This window comes from Homo sapiens, chromosome 9 (genome assembly GCF_000001405.40).
Source record: "Homo sapiens chromosome 9, GRCh38.p14 Primary Assembly".
Taxonomy (NCBI): Eukaryota; Metazoa; Chordata; class Mammalia; order Primates; family Hominidae; genus Homo; species Homo sapiens.
Window position 1 is genome coordinate 70,375,717 of NC_000009.12, and position 16,364 is coordinate 70,392,080.

General features: G+C 40.5%; 1 protein-coding gene across 1 annotated transcript in view; it reads right to left on the bottom strand.

The window, feature by feature from the left end:
• Window positions 1-8,887: 8,887 nt before the first annotated feature.
• The window catches only part of KLF9 (KLF transcription factor 9), a 30,054-nt gene continuing 22,577 nt past the window's right edge, over window positions 8,888-16,364 (bottom strand). The window contains exon 2 of the mRNA NM_001206.4: window positions 8,888-12,289. Coding sequence (NP_001197.1) covers window positions 12,060-12,289 — 230 coding nt within the window. The 3' untranslated portion in view covers window positions 8,888-12,059. The remainder of the gene's footprint in view (window positions 12,290-16,364) is intronic.

Here is a 16,364-nt window from a genome sequence, read left to right on the forward strand (position 1 = left end):
ACTCATTACCGTAGGTGAAAGGAGAAAAAAGTAATCTTTCTACAGAGGCTCTACCTAAGGGACTCTACATCCCTGTTCCTGGGGATGCCTTTTGCAGTGTTAAACAGAATACCGGCAATTAGTATGGACCATCTTACCTACCTACAGGTAAATGAGAAGGTGAAGACGACCACACTTCACCAGAATCCTCGCATTACAAAAGAATCACAGGGTCTTCTCAGGTGTTTGCCTATAAATCACTAAATAGGGGAGGCTAATGACAGAAAAAAAAAATCCTACAGTACTGCTGATTAAATATCAATCAGTACAGAAGCAAAATACAAAAACAAAAATCAATCAGGACTTAGAACAAAAGCAAATAAAAAATTATTTTAAAATGGAGATAACCAACCTAAAAGCTTAATAATAAAAACATTTTAATAGTCAATGTGGTGGCTCCTAACAGGCAGGCAGAGAATACAGAAGGAAACATGCAATCTTAGCTGTGCCAAGGTTTGTGAACCCAAACCTATCACAGAATTCGTAGGAGTTGAAGAAATGTGATGGAAATGGAGATTTATTTTTATTAAGAGACAGGGTCTCGCTCTGTTGCCAAGGCTGGTTTTGAACTCCTGGGCTCAAATGATCCTCCCACCTCAGCCTCCCAAAGTGCTGGGATTACAGGTGTGAGTCACCGTGCCCGGCTGAGATTTCAAAAATTAAGCCTTCAAAAAACATTATTTTGTGTACTTTAAAAAAAAATGCAATCCAATGAGCAACATCTTTCTTATCTTTGTTTTCACTTCTGGGAAGCAGAAACTTTCTTCTTTTTAATGCTAGCCTTCAAGAAACACTTATATAATAGATTGCCGAGAGCTGAGGTTAGTTTCTTTGTTTGTTTGTTTTTTGTTGCTGTTTATTTTCTGCAAAGGACCAGACAGTAAATGTTTTAGACTTTGAGGGCCAAAAACTAGTGTGTGTGACTGCAGCCACAGGCAGTAAGTGTATAAGAAGAGCTGCATTCCAATAAAACTTCGTGAACACTGAAATTTGAATTTCATGTAATCTTTATGTATTTGACATATACATATCTTTTTATTAAAAATATTTTTATTGCTTCAACCATTTAAAAATGTAAAAACATTCTTAGTTCACTAGCCCTACAAAACCAGACTATAGGCCAGATTTCACTTGGGGCTGTAGTCTGCAGACACCAACAGTCATTTGTATAAGCAAAGGCTGATGTAAGAAAATTGCACCCATTCAAGAAAGAGAAAATGGGTTGAAACTGTTACAATTCATTGAGGACCATATTCACTCAATGTGAGAAATGAAAAGAACAAATATTTGTTGGAAACCTAGTGTTTCAAAACTGTTAGCCTCGTGTAGGGGCATTGAGCTAACAGTTTATGTATTTTATTGATTTACTCTTCACAATGATGCTATGGGATATTACACACACATATCCACACAAACTGAGTCTCAGAGAAATTAAATAGCTTGCTTGGACCTGGTACCCAGCTAGGATTTGAACATGGGTCATGATATGATTTGGATCTGTGTCCGCACCCAAATCTCATGTTGAATTATAATTCCCAGTGAGGGAGGTGGGGCCTGGTGGGAAGTGATTGGATCACAGGAGTGGATCCTTCAAGAATGGTTTGGCACCATCCTCTCCATGGTGTTCTCCTGATGGTGAGTGAGCTCTTATGAGATCTGGTTGTTTAAAAGTGTGTAGTTGGCCAGGCGTGGTGGCTCATGCCTGTAATCTCAGGACTTTGGGAGGCCGAGGCAGAAAGATCACACCTGAGGTCAGGAGTTTGAGACTAGCCAGGCCAACATGGCAAAACCCCGTCTCTACTAAAAATACAAAGATTATCCGGGCATGGTGGTGGATGCCTGTAATCCCAGCTACTCAGGAGGCTGAGGCAGTCTGAGAATCACTTGAACCTGGGAGGTGGAAGTTGCAGTGAGCCAAGACCATGCCATTGCACTCCAGCCTGTGTGGCAAGAGCAAAACTCCTTCTCAAAAAAAAAAAAAAAAAAATAGTGTAACACCTCTCCCCTCTCTCTGGTGCCTGCTCTGGCCATGTGATGTGGCTGCTCCCCCTTTGCCTTACACCATGATTGAAAGTTTTCTGGCTGGGCATGGTGGCTCACGTCTGTAATCCCAGCACTTCGGGAGGCCGAGGCAGGAGTGTCACCTGAGGTCAGGAGTTTGAGACTGGTCTAGCCAACATGGCGAAACCCTGTCTCTACTAAAAAATACAAAAATTAACTGGATGTAGTGGTGGGCACCTGTAACCCAGTTGTTGGGAGGCTGAGACAGGAGAATTGCTTGCACCCATGAGGTGGAGGTGGCAGTGAGCTGAGATCGCGCCACTGCACTCCAGCCTGGGCGACAGATCAAGACTCATCTCAAAAAAAAAAAAAAAAAAAAAAAAAAAGACAGTTTCTGAGCAGATGCCAGCACCATGCTTCCTGTACAGCCTGCAGAGCATGAGCCAATTATACCTCTTCTTTATAAATTACCCAGTCTCAGGTATTTCTTTATAGCAATACAATGTGAGAACGGCCTAACACAGGTTGGTCTTTTGAGAAAACCCTAAATGATATCATCTGACTTAGGAAGAATTGAGTTTGTAGTGAAAACCAGGAGTAAAAACTGCATTCAACTCTTTACTTGAGTTGAAACTCAAGAAGCATCTGTTTCATTGCCAAGGTGAACAGAGGCCACATGAACTAGAGAACAGATGAGAGATATCAAGAATTCGCTGCTCTGCCAGGGCAGCAGCCACAAAGGCCACCCCAAATCAACCCAAATTGACTTCTGGGTGTGACCCCATAGTTGGGCAGGTTAACTCTCATACAAGAGCTAGTGGCTTCATATTGCTGTTCTAAAATATGGCATTTATGCATGACTGCATTGGTATTGCAGAATAAATAAGTGAATAAAATATCACATTTACATTGACTTCTGGGCATTTCCTTTTTTCTCCCTTTTTTTAGAAGTGTAATATATACTCCTTTTGTAGAAAACTTAGCATAATATAGATAAGGAGTATAAATTTAAAATTATCCCTAGTCTTATGTGTCAAAATAATCACGGTTAACATTCTTGTGTAGTATCCTTTAAATCCTTCTAGCCTTTTTTTTTTCTGAGCACATATACGTGTTTTAAAGTGAGACTATACTGGGTAAGCTGCTTTTTATATAAATATATTGTGAACATATTTTTATGTCATTTCTCAAAGTCTGATTTTCATAATGTCTCTAAAAACAAACAAACTAGGGCAAAATGACCATAGTCAAGTAAGTTTGTGCGATTCTGCATGCTACGTCAGCCCCTGGGATATGAATGATGCATACTGGATCACAACAAAGACTCTGCAAAGAAATTCAGTAGAGAAACTTGGTTCACCTCGCCTACGTATCCCACACTTATCTAATCATAGGATCCTCCTATAAGGTAACATTTACAAAATCAATGTACTACAGAATATCCGTGGTGAAAAGCTATTCTACACCATTTGTAATGGATGCATACTATTCTACTGGTATTTATTTATTTATTTATTTATTTATTTATTTATTTATTTGAGACAGAGTCTCACTCTGTCGCCCAGGCTGGAGTTCAGTGCACGGATCTCAGCTCACTGCAACCTCCACCTCCCGGGTTCAAGTGATTCTCCTGCCTCAGCCTCCTGAGTAGCTGGGATTACAGGCGCATGCCACCATGCCCAACTAATTTTTGTATTTTTAGTAGAGACGGGGTTTTGCCATGTTGGCCAGGCTGGTCTCAAACTCCTGACCTCAGGTGATCCACCTACCTGGGCCTCCTGAAGTGCTGGGATTACAGGAGTGAGCCACTACACCTGGACCCTACTGTAACCATCCATGAGAACTGAACATTGATATTGTTTTCAAATTTTCACTATTATAAAAAATGCTACCATGTACATTTTTTTGCAGCTAAATCTTTGCAGACTTTCATGATAATTCCTTGGGCATGCAATTGCTTTGAAAAGTAGATGAACATTTCTATGGTTTTTAAATTCTTACGGCCCAATTATCTCCTAGAAAAGTTGTGCCAGTTTGGATCCCCACTAGCAATATGTCCTTTTCCCCCAGTTCTTAACCAAAAGGGTGTTTTATATTTTTTAATCTGTACCAGCATAGGCAGATAACTGTACCTCACTATTTTATAATACATTTCTTTGAAAGCATAGCAAATATTTAAGAAAAGTTTATTGGCTGTTTTTATTTCTTATTTTATAAAATGTCAATTTATATCATTTGCCAGATCTTTCTAAATATGTGTTCATTTTTTCATATTGACTTGTAAGTTATAAAGACATTAATCCTATTAATGGGCATTTTTCCATATCCATATCCATACTTTTTAACTTTATTTAGGCTCATTTTTCATTTATAATAGTTTCACATCTTTAATAGTTTCTACCTTTAGTTTTGTGCAAATGATGATTTATGAATCATGATTTATTAATCTTCACCTATATTTTAAGTGTTTTTATCATTTTACTTACATCTTTAATGTGTGTAGAATTTATTTTGATATACAGTGTGATATAATTTGAATTATTCCTAGAAAATATTTTATTTAAACAAAATTTAGTAGATAATACATGTATTTCCCCACTGATTTGTGATGCCACTTTTTTTTTTCTTTAGATGGAGTCTCACTCTGTTGCCCAGGTTGGAGTGGAGTAGTTCTATTATATCTCACTGCAGCTTCACACTCCTGAGTTTAAATTATCCTCCCACTTCAGTCTCCTGAGCAGCTGGGACTACAAGCGCACACCACCAAGCCCACTTTGCTGCCTAGACTGGTCTCGAACTCCTGGCTTCAAGCCATCTTCCCACCTCAGCCTCCCAAAGTGCTAGGAGTACAGGCATGGGCCCTGCACCTGGCCACCACTCTTATAAAATATATTAAATTTTTATGCTTTTTTTTTTTTTTGAGACGAAGTCTCACTCTGTTGCCCAAGCTGGAGTGCAGTGGCACAATCTTGGCTCGCTGCAACCTCCACCTCCCAGGTTCAAGCGATTCTCCTGCCTAAGCCTCCTGAGTAACTGGGACTACAGGCAGGCACCACCACGCCCAGCTAATTTTTGTATTTTTAGTAGAGACAGGGTTTCACCATGTTGGCCAGGCTGGTCTTGAACTCCTGACCTCGTGATCCACCTGCCTCAGCCTCCCAGAGTGCTGGGATTACCGGGGTGAGCCACTGTGCCCAGCCGATTCTTATACATTCTTATGTCTTCAAAATAGACTGTAATTTCTGATAGGGCACATTCCCCTAAGTTACTTTTCCTTTGTAAAATATTCTTGACTATTCTTGTAGGTCAAGAGTTAAACTATGAATTAAGAATGTTTTCCATTATTTGGGTGAATCAGGATGTTTTCCATTATTTTGTATGGTCTTTGTTCTAACAGTTTTTAAAACATTTATTTATTTTTTTTAAATATATTTTTAGAGATGGGGTATTGCTCTGTCACTCAGGCTGGAGTGCAGTGATGTGATCACAGCTCACTATAGCCTCAAGCTCCTGGACTCAAGTGATCCTACGATCTCAGCCTCTCAAGTAGATGGAACTACAATTATGTGCCCAGCTAATATTTTATATTATTTTTTGGAGAGAAAGGATCCCACTTTGTTGGCCAGTTTAAAACTCCTAGCCTCAAGCGATCCTCCCACCTCAGCCTCCCAAAATGCTGGGCTTACAGGTGTGAGCCACTGCACCTGGCCTCTAATCTTTTAGAGAAATTATTGGTTCCTTAAAGATTTGAAAGATGTTGTCTATATAATCTGGGCGCTGAAGTTCTCTGATATTTGTCAATCAAAAAATTAGTTCTGTCTATACAACTGTACCACCCATCAAAACTCTTGTCAGTTAAAAAAGTAGTTTTCAGTCTATACAACTGTACCACTCACAAAAACTTTTCTAGGATGGTTTTAGAGTCATTCTATCAAGATGTCCAAAATTATTAGTTGATTTTATCTATAGTTACACCTCTCTTCTCATTCATAATATAGATTTAGATTTTCTCTTGTTTTTGTTTGGCTTTGTCAAAAGTGTGTCTATTTTATTGGTCTTTTCAAAGATCCACTGCTTGGGTTTATATGTTAATCTCATTTTATTATTTTCTCATGCTTTTCCTAGATACTGTTCATTTTCAAATATAAATTGATCGCTTGGCTTATTTTTATTTTTTCATAGATGATAATGAAGCATATGAGGCTCTGAATTTTTCTGTAAGTACTGCTTTAGGGTATAGGGTATATTATGGATATACTGCTTTTTCTATTGTTTTAAACAGATTATAATTTGTATTTTCTGTTTTGATCTAAAAATTATTTTAAGACAGTATTTCAATCTCTACTTTTTTAGTCTTTCAAAATTATCCTTTTGTTATTAATTGCTCACTTTATTGCCTAGTGATAAAAAATGCAATCTTTTTTTAGAGACAGTGTCTTTCTCTGTCACTCAGGCTGGAGTGCAGTGCGTGATCGCAGCTCATTGCAGCCTTGAACTCCTGGACTCAAGCCATCCTCCTGCCTCAGCCTCTTGAGGAGCTGTGACTTTGCTTTTGATCCAAATTGAGATTCTAACTTTTAGTAGGGGGTTTAAGTGGCATGTGCATTCTATTTTCCTTCGTCTTATTTTGTCTTTTTCTTGTGCCTCCTCTTTTTCCTGGCTTTTGCTGTATATAAATAAGTCTGCTTTTGTTTTCTGCAAACTATGTAAGAATTGACTATACTTCCTATTTATAATTTTCACCTCACGATTACTCCTCCCCCTCCCTAACCAGCTGTTTATTTCCGCCATTCTAATAAAATGGCTCTAATCAGTCACCAATAACCTCAGATTCCTAAATTCAGGGGACGCTTTTCAGCACTGGTCTTACTATACTCCTCAATGCCATTCAGCACAGTTGACTGGCCCACCCCCCACCTTACTCAACAGCCCTGCAATTTTCTGGGTTTTGTTTGTCCTGTTATTTCCTGAGCTACCTTTCTGCCTCCTCCTTCTCCTCCTCTTTGGTTCTAGGCTGTAACCACTTCTTCTCCCAGGTGATCTCATCCACTTCTTTGGCTCCAGTTACTGTTAAATATGACGATGACATCCAAATTTCCAGTCCAGTCCACTTCTTTTGAGATCTGAACTAGTACATACAATCGTTCTCTTGACATTCCCAGTTGACAGGCACTGCAACCTCAACATGTCCAAAGATGAACCCATGCCCTTTCCCTCATCCACCCCCTTCTTTCCCCCTTTCCTCCATCCTCACCACTCTGCAGTAACATCTACCTGTTGCTCAGGCCATAGACTTGAGGGTCATTACCGGACTTTTTTATGCCTTACCCCCGACATCCTAACATCACCAAGTCCAAATGACTCTGCCTCTGATGTATTTCTTGAAACTATTCACTTCTTTCCACTGCTAACCTTCGGGTCTGGAAAACCATCATCTTTTGCCTGGACAAATAGAAATCTCCTGGCTAGTCTCCCAGCTTCCACTCTTGTCCCTCTAAAATCCATTTTCCCTGGCACTCATAAAGAGCTTGCTGAAATACAAGTGGGATCGTAGCATTCTTCTGCTTTAAAGCTTCCAACAGATTGCCCCTCCCCTTAGAATCAAAATCAAACACCGTTTTACAACCTGCAATACGTGGCCCTTGTGAACTGGGCCCTGACAACCACCCCAGCACTTCCCTTCCCTTCTTGTCCAGTTTATATTCCAGCCACCCCACTGTTATCCTGTTCCTCCAAACGCTGGTCACATTCCTGCCAAACTCCTTCCACACTCCCTACACATTTTCTGAGGCTAGTTCCTTCTTGTCATCTAGGTCCCAGCTTAAATGTGAAGACCCTCAGGGAGTCCTTCCCTGCCTCCTCAATCTGTAGTAGCCTCTCCCCACCCTCCAAGTCACAATCACATCACCCTATTCTATTCTCGCCACTATGCTTATCCCTATCTGAGAGTACATGGATAATCTGTTTACTATTTATTTCCCTCTACTAACAGAAACTCCCTGAACATAGGGTCCTTGTCTATTTTTTCACCTTTGTATCCACAGTGACAACAGTGCCTGGCATGAATAGGTGTGCTCAATAAAATGGGTCAAATGAATGGTACACTCCAGTAAATCCCTTGCTGCTGTGATGCAGGCATACAAAGATGCAGGGTTGGATTCAGCAGATCCAAATTTAAACACTGTCTGTGCCACTTATTAGATGTGCCTCTTGGCAAGTTATCCAATCCTCAATTTCCTCATCAGAAATATGTACATAATAATAATTATCTACTGTACTGAGCTGCTGTAAGGATTAAATGTGAAAAACCTAAACACCCAACGCCATGAGTAGTTTACAATAAAAGCTTAATTAATACATAATAGCTAGTACATGTCTGCATAAATCTCACACACACACACACACACACACACACTTTGATGCTTGTCTTTGCTTGGTGTTATGTTTCTACTGTTGAGCCAATGAAACCTCAACTTGTGTGTTCTTATTAATATCGTATCTCAAGAGCACAATCTGAGCTTACAACTTTCTCTGACCAGTTCCTAGTACACCCTGCACAGTTATGAGCTCTAAAAGCCTCTTAAAGTGATTTATCTCCCAAAATATAAATATTCCCCTCCAGCATAACACAATGGTTTCAAGTGACCTCTATTGCATCTACTTCCTCAGAGGTCTGTGAATAGTAAATACACACAAGTCTATATAACTATTGCATGTGTTGAAAGGTACAGGGTAAAATCATCTTTGCACTCATCCCAAAATCCTGCGAACACAGGTTAAAGAAGTAACTTTCATTATGGTGAAATAGCCCCCTTTTACAACACATAATGGCTAGAACAATTCAGTCTTTATCATTTATTATTTTTATTTGGACAACATATATACATATGTACAAAATACCTACTGTCAGAATCCTCTTTTATAATTTCATTTGATTTACAAAAACGGGACAGCAAAATAACTTAGGTCACTAATACTGTACAAAAATAAAACTGATTAAACAGTTGTAAAGATCAGTATCTTACAGTGTTACAGATCATCTGATGTGAAAGAACATCTCAATCTATCCGAGTGATGAGTACTGTGCTAAATCTATCTGCAAACTGACAAACTAATCAGTTTCTGTAATTGTAACTACCAAATAGAATTCTCAAGAGAAGCATGATGTGGAGCTAAACCTTAAAGCCAGGGCATCATTCCACAATGGTGAAGGGCTTTCTTCTTCCCTAACCAAAGAGAGGAGATATCTTAACTCTAAAACTATTAAATTTTCCAGAATATGACAACTACTTACAGTATTAGATAAAACAACTTTTCTTTCTTTTTAAACACCTGCAATAGTCTTTCAAAAATTCAGTTTGGTTAAAAAAGTAAACAAAAATTACTATCCTGCATTTGGATTTTCATAAGTTAAATCCATGGTCTTTTTAATATAAAAAGTAATTGTTTCATAGTTTTAGTGTTCAATGAACTCTAGTAGTCCTATTTGAACCATATCTTGATATAGTAAATCTAATTAGAATGCTGGTTCCTGTTTTGTGACATTTTAAAACAGGATTTAATCACAAAGAATAAAAAGGCTTGAGTTTATACGTTACATTACTATAACATATAAGAGAATATCAAATGTGTGTTTGTCAACAACTTGAAAAGGCAAGTAACAACTTTTTTGGGAAGTAAATTGTGCATTTTTTTAAAACAAGTTGCTGCATTTATATCCATCTAAGTGCTTGACAAAAGCCACATTTAGATTTACTCCTGAAACTATAAAGATTGTCTTTCACTGACTTTGCTTTGCTTTCTTTCGTTTCTTTCTGTGAGGGAAAGATGACTTTTTACAAGTTAGCAAGTTGCTAGGCAACCCCAAACTCCTCACTCACTAAAAGGCAGCGTGCAGAGTATCATAAGCAGAACCATTCCATGAGCTCAGTGAGAAATAGGCAGCCTAACCTATTTCGTATGGAAGAACAGATGTCCTTAAAACTTATTTTGGACACAGAAATTAAAATTTGGTTTAAAATAAGTGTTTCAAAAATCTGAAACAGAGGTAGAAAGTGTTCTTTATTTTTCCTGACATGTTTTCTCGTGAGAAAACACTTTCCTTTTTATCCCATGGACTGCTCCCAGTCCCTAATGTTAAAAGCAGTTCTCTTTATAGAACTACTAATACAACTACGTTGGTTAAACAAAAAAACACTGTGCTAGTGATGGCTGTTGTATTGGAAGTTGGAGTCAGCCGTGACCCGCGCCCACTGCAGGAGCCCACACTGATTCTGAATCAGAAACGAGTATGGGTCAGGTGAAATAGGTAGGCACCCTATGTTTACACATTTCAGAGCGCAAGTATAAACTAGAGTGCACCATAGCTCCCTGTTTTAAATATCAGATAAAATCATCAGAAAGCGTTACTTCTGAAGAAAAAAAAAATGTAAACATTTCCCCCATGATCACTGCTGACTCCCCTCATTTGAGGTCTTAACTACGAAAACTCAGTTCACTTTTCTGGCCTCATAAAGGCCACAGTTAAGTTTTCAGGTAAATGGCATAGATGGATGTAGTGGTTTCAGCCATTATAGACACCTAGATACAAGATATATTAGTGGTGAGGCTATTGATGTAAAAGATACAGTGATGTGATTTCATTCCTAGTATTCCATGTTGCCTGCATTCTCCACAAGGGACGATTTTGCAGAGTCTCCTCTGAAATCATTGTGGTATTTTCCCTTGGTGTTCACTAGTTATAGGGGTTGATTTTTCTGTTCCTATTTCAGCTCCCTTTCCTTCTACATAACTCTTGCACCTGAGAGTGGGAGTTTTGTAGGAACACAGGAAGGAGACCAACAAACCTTTTTCCCCAAAAAATAGGTGTTTCCAGATCTCATTACTGTTATGCACACATTCAAATAAAACCCAACAGAGTCAAAAGCTCTCTCCCCTAGTGGCATTAGGATACAATAATGATGTTAACTAAAAGCATAGGAAAATTTGGAAAAGTTAATAGAGTTAAAATTCTGTTGGTTCTTTTCTTTTTCTTTTGCAAAACACTACCCTCCTTCTCCTTCAGCATCTGTTGTGTATATTCTGCCCTCACATCTCTGCCATGATTTCTTAGGGAAACGTGTATATTGTAAAATAAGCAGATTATAACGTGGTGCCAAACAGAACATCTGCTTCTATCCTCAAAGCATGTATTTAACTTATTCATCCTCTGCATTAGAAAATAAAAGTGCAGCTTATGTTCAAAAAGTACAACTCATACAAAGCAAGGTTTAAAAGTTCTGTACTTAGTGTAACCTTTCAAAGGTTTGTCTTGATTAGTATAAATTCAGACTCTGCTTACCCATTGACTATAAGTAACTGTTTTTTGTTTTCAAGTCTTTAGATGACAGATCATGCTGGAGTAGATGTGCTCTTGCTTGCATAAAGACAGCTGTGCTATGGCGTTTTTTTTTTTAATCTCAAAAGTTAACGTGATTCAAGAGAGTGGTTTTGCTAAACAAACTGAAGCACACTCGTCATTACATTAAAAGGTAAGAAAACAATTCTGAGAGACAGCAAGCATAAAGGGCCCAGAATCACTGTGCGAGGCCACAGGTCAACTCACCCAGCGGACATATGTACACCAGTGTTGAATCTTTAAAATTCTACCCCAGTCTTGGCCTTACCCCCCTCCCCCCCACCCACTCCCTACCCTCCCCCGCAAAAAAATAAAAGGAGAAAAAAAAACAAAAACAAAAACCAAAAAACCCAAAAGCATTTGCCTTCCCTCCAACAGTCAGAGACGGGTTCAGAGAGTTGCCTCTTCAAGGGGACCGAGTGTTGTTGACTTTGATCTTAGGCTACAATGTGCTTTTTAAAAACAATGCAGGGAGAGGAAAATCAGAATATTGACCAAAGAGCAGTGACTTCCTGTGCCGTCAAGTGTGCCTCTTCTGGGGCTCAGTTTTCACGCGTCTGTTTCCTGGGAGTACTTTTCTCCTTTCGGGGTCCATCCCTCCCTGGCTTCCACGGGCAGCACCTCACAAAGCGTTGGCCAGCGCCTTTTTCGATCGCTTGATCATGCTGGGGTGGAACTCGGTGTGCCGCCGGGCGTGCTTTGTGAGGTGGTCACTCCTCATGAAGCGCTTCTCACACAGCGGACAGCGGAACTGCTTTTCCCCAGTGTGGGTCCGGTAGTGGCGGGTCAGCTCGTCTGAGCGGGAGAACTTTTTAAGGCAGTCTGGCCACGTGCAGGGAAAGGGCCGTTCACCTAAGAGAAAGGAATCAGAAAGGATACAGCTCAAAGAACATGAAAAAAATTCCGAAGGGCGGTCATGGTCAATAGTCCCTACGACTCAAAGGATAAATCCCTCGGAGATGATTATTATGTGTCCCCCTCCCCAAAATCCCTATGTTGAAGCCTTAACCCCCAGCACCACAGAAAATGACTGCATTTGAAGTTAAGGCCTTTAAAGAGGCAACTGATGTTAAACAAGTTCATGAGGGCAGGCCTTAATCCACGACTGGTGTCTTTATAAGAGGAGATGAGGACACAGACATGTGAAGACTAGGGAAGACCTTGGGAAGACAGGGATGAAGCCACCATCTACAAGCCAAGGAGAGAGGCCTCCAATGAAACGAACCCGTCCCCTGCCTCTACCTTGGACTCCCAGTCTCCAGAACTGTGAGGAAATAAAGTTCTGTTGTTTCAGCCACCCAGTCTGTGGTTGTGTGTTATGGCAGCCCAAACTAATACAATGAGAAAGTTGCTAACATCTCTAAGCAAATGAGCTTGCCATTTGGTACCCTATGGGTCCCCTGGAAAGTATTTTTTCTGTTTTATTCCACACAATTGCTGGTTTCATAAATTCTTTCAAGAGTAAAAAAGCTGAGCCTTTTTGCTAAATTTCTTGGTGTTGTAGGATGGAAAAGAATTGGCATTGGGTCCAACCAGCCTCCTACCTGGAACGAGCATTTCTCCCTGAGCTCCTGAGTGCAGGGGCCACTCAGCATCTGGTTGTTCCTGAGCATCTCTGTCACATCTTTTATTGATATAAAATCTGCCTTCCTGCAAAGGCCATACTTTAAGTCATATTGTCTTAACACTAGAAGTAAGTTTGTGCCAGGTGTGTAATCCCTCACGCCTGTAATCCCAGCACTTTGGGAGGCTGAGGCGGGCAGATCACCTGAGGTCAGGAGTTAAGAGACCAGCCTGACCAACATGGTGAAACCCCACCTCTACTAAAAATACAAAAATTAGCTGGGTGTGGTGGCGTGCGCCTGTAGTCCCAGCTACTTGGGAGGCTGAGACAGGAGAATTGCTTGAACCCAGGAAGCGAAGGTTGCAGTGAGCCAAGATCATGCCACTGCACTCTAGCCTAGGCGACAGAGTGAGACTCTGTCTCAAAAAGAAAAAAAAAAAAGAAATGTTTGTTCCTTCTGCCACATCATAATCCTTTAAATATCTGCAGACAGATATGTCTTTCTTTAATCTCTTCTCCCATTTCCAAACAATTCCAGTTTCTTCTATATTCCTCATAAAAGATGAACTAACATTGTTCTAAGCATAAAGCTAAGGGCTTCCCGTGCCCTTCTCACTGAATTTTCACAAGCACTCCACAAGGTTGCCCCATTTCACAGATGAGAAAACTGAGACTTGGAGGGTTAAACTCTGTACTCAGGGTCACATAACTGGAAAGCAGAGTAATGAACTGGCCCTGTCTACCAAGGCCCGTGCTCTTGGCCACTTGGCTGTCCTGACTCCTGGGGGTCCTGGGGACTTGACAATTTCCACATCCCTCTTTCCGATTGCTTTCCTTGGATTCACACTAATGTCTGTGTCCCACTGAAAATGCAGCTAAGTCCTGCCTGCCAGATGTTATCAGGCCAGCATCCATAACCTCCTGCTGCTCCCCACCCCACAAGATGAAGGCAGGGGAGGTGAAGGCCATGTCTGTGTTTGGGGAGGACATACACAGGCAGACAAGCAGACGAGCTGTTGAAGATGAGAACCACACTTGTTCCACTTATAAGTGACTGCCATCGCCCTGGCTCCCAAGAGCCTGCCTCTGCCTACTCTTCACACCTTTCCAAGCACAGCTGACAATAGCTGCTGCATAGACAGAGGACACACAGCCTCCTGGTTTCCGCAGAACTCTCCAGACACTCCTTGGCTAGGTGTGAGGAGTGAATATTTTCTCACTCCTGTCCCGGCCTTCCCAGAACCCATAGAGAAACTGCAGAGGCTGGGAGCTGTCCAGCGTGGTGCATTTGAGTCATCCAAAATTATTCATTCTATTTTCCCCAGCGTCTCTTAACCTGTGCTGATGAGATGCAGAAATATGATAAAACAACCAAATCTATCACCTTTGTGATAATCTATTCATGATGAAGGCTCTCTGCTGTTTTCTAAGCAGAGCAATAGTCATAACAACACCCTGTACAACGTACTTTTCGAGGAAACCCAATGTGGGTAAAACGAATCTGTAGCAGTTGATTCTCTATGTGCAGATCTACGTATAAACCCTTATGGAGCTCTGAGCTGAAAAGCTACGGCAGCAAAAGGCAATAGCAAACCAATGAATGCTGGGCCCTACTCAAGGTGGATAAGAGCTAGGGTTATTGATGCATTTTGATGCTCGGGGATGGGGCTGCAAAGAGGAAAAAAAAAAGAGTTTCCCGTGAAAAACTCAATAAAGACATGGAGTTGAAAACTACACTTCTGCAACTTCCATTAGATAAACAGGATTTTAACCCACTTCAGCAGACTTTTGAGCAAAAGTCAAAATACAGATTGTTACAACCCCATCAAGGCTGAGCTTCTTGAGGCAAAAATAATGTCATGTATGACTTTTGTCCTACTCATGGTGCCAAGCATTTGGTAAATGCTCAAACTTTACACACACACACACACATACACACACTCTCTCTCTCTCTCTCTCGTCCTCCTCCTGGTCACTCACATTGAAATCTGCTCAGATATTACTGGCTACTGGAGAAACCTGAGCTATTGCAGAATTAGACTGCAGTGAAGTCCTCTTTAACCCCAGTGAAGCAGTTATGGGGGAAATGTTTTTCTAAACATGTTCTATGAAAAATATAACAAGGGGTCAGAACTCATAGAATGGTTAAGTTGCAAAAAGCCAAACCAAACCAAAACAAAACGCCCTCTCTGCTCGGTCCTTTTTGGAGCCCTTTCTCCACTCCCTTCTGATGTGGCGGTGAGGAAAACAATGAAAGGAAGAGCTCAGTGTTTTCTCAATGCTTGTTAAGACAAAAACTCATTAGAAGTGGTTTTCTTGGAGGAGTGCTAATGTGGCTTAGCCTCCTCACTGGCATGTGTACTCATTTCTTTCAAGTGAGTCATGAGAGGAGGGGGTTCATTTAGTTGGGGGATCTGTGTCCACTGTGGGGAAAATGGACCAGAAGACCATTCAGCTGTGGGCTAGGACTGGAAAAGGAGTAAGATACTCTCGCTGTGTTAGGAAGATGGCTTTCTAGAAGTGACCATGGAAAACTGGCATGAAGCCATCAGAATAGGAGAACTATTAAGTTTCTATGCTTGTGACTTACATATATTTCAAGTGTAATCAGGGTTTGTTCCCACTGAATTCACTTTCGACCTAGCTGACAGTGATACTCTCTTGACTGCCCCTTGGAGCTGTCATTTTGTGATGGTTCTCCTTGCTTCTAATCCAAGTGCTGTCATTGACCTAGCGTCCTTATCCCTGAAGTGTTTCACAGAGAGCAGAGAGGGACACCCACAGAGCCCCGAGAAAATCAAGAGCAAATAGAAGCTTCGTTAGACTCATGTAACTTGTATAATTCAAGTTTACCATTTTTACGCATTTAAAAAAGATCTGCTTGGAAGTGAGTTGCTAGTATAAAAGGCCCGGGATCATTTTGATTTATCTGGCATCCTTTGGAAAACTTTAAAAACTTTTTGGTCAGTGATCTAAATCAGGGGCTAGCAATCCACATCCCACTGGCCAAATCTGGCCTGCCATGAGCTAAGAATAGCTTATACCATTCTTATATTCGGTTTTTACCAAGTGGTTGAAAAAAATTAAAAGAATATTTCATGACAGGAGAAAGTTATATGAAATTAAAATTTCCTTGTCTGCATATAGTTTTATTGGAAACAGCCATGCTCATTGGTTTAAGTATTATCTACAGCTGCATTCTCAAAACAGCAGTGTTGAGCAGTTGCCCACAGAGACTGTACAGCCTGCAAAGCTGAAAATATTTACTATCAGGACCTTTTGCAAAAAGTTGGTTGATTCCTGATCTCAATCAAAAGACTTGAAGCTGGGTGTGGCGTTGCACACCTATAATCCCAGCTACTG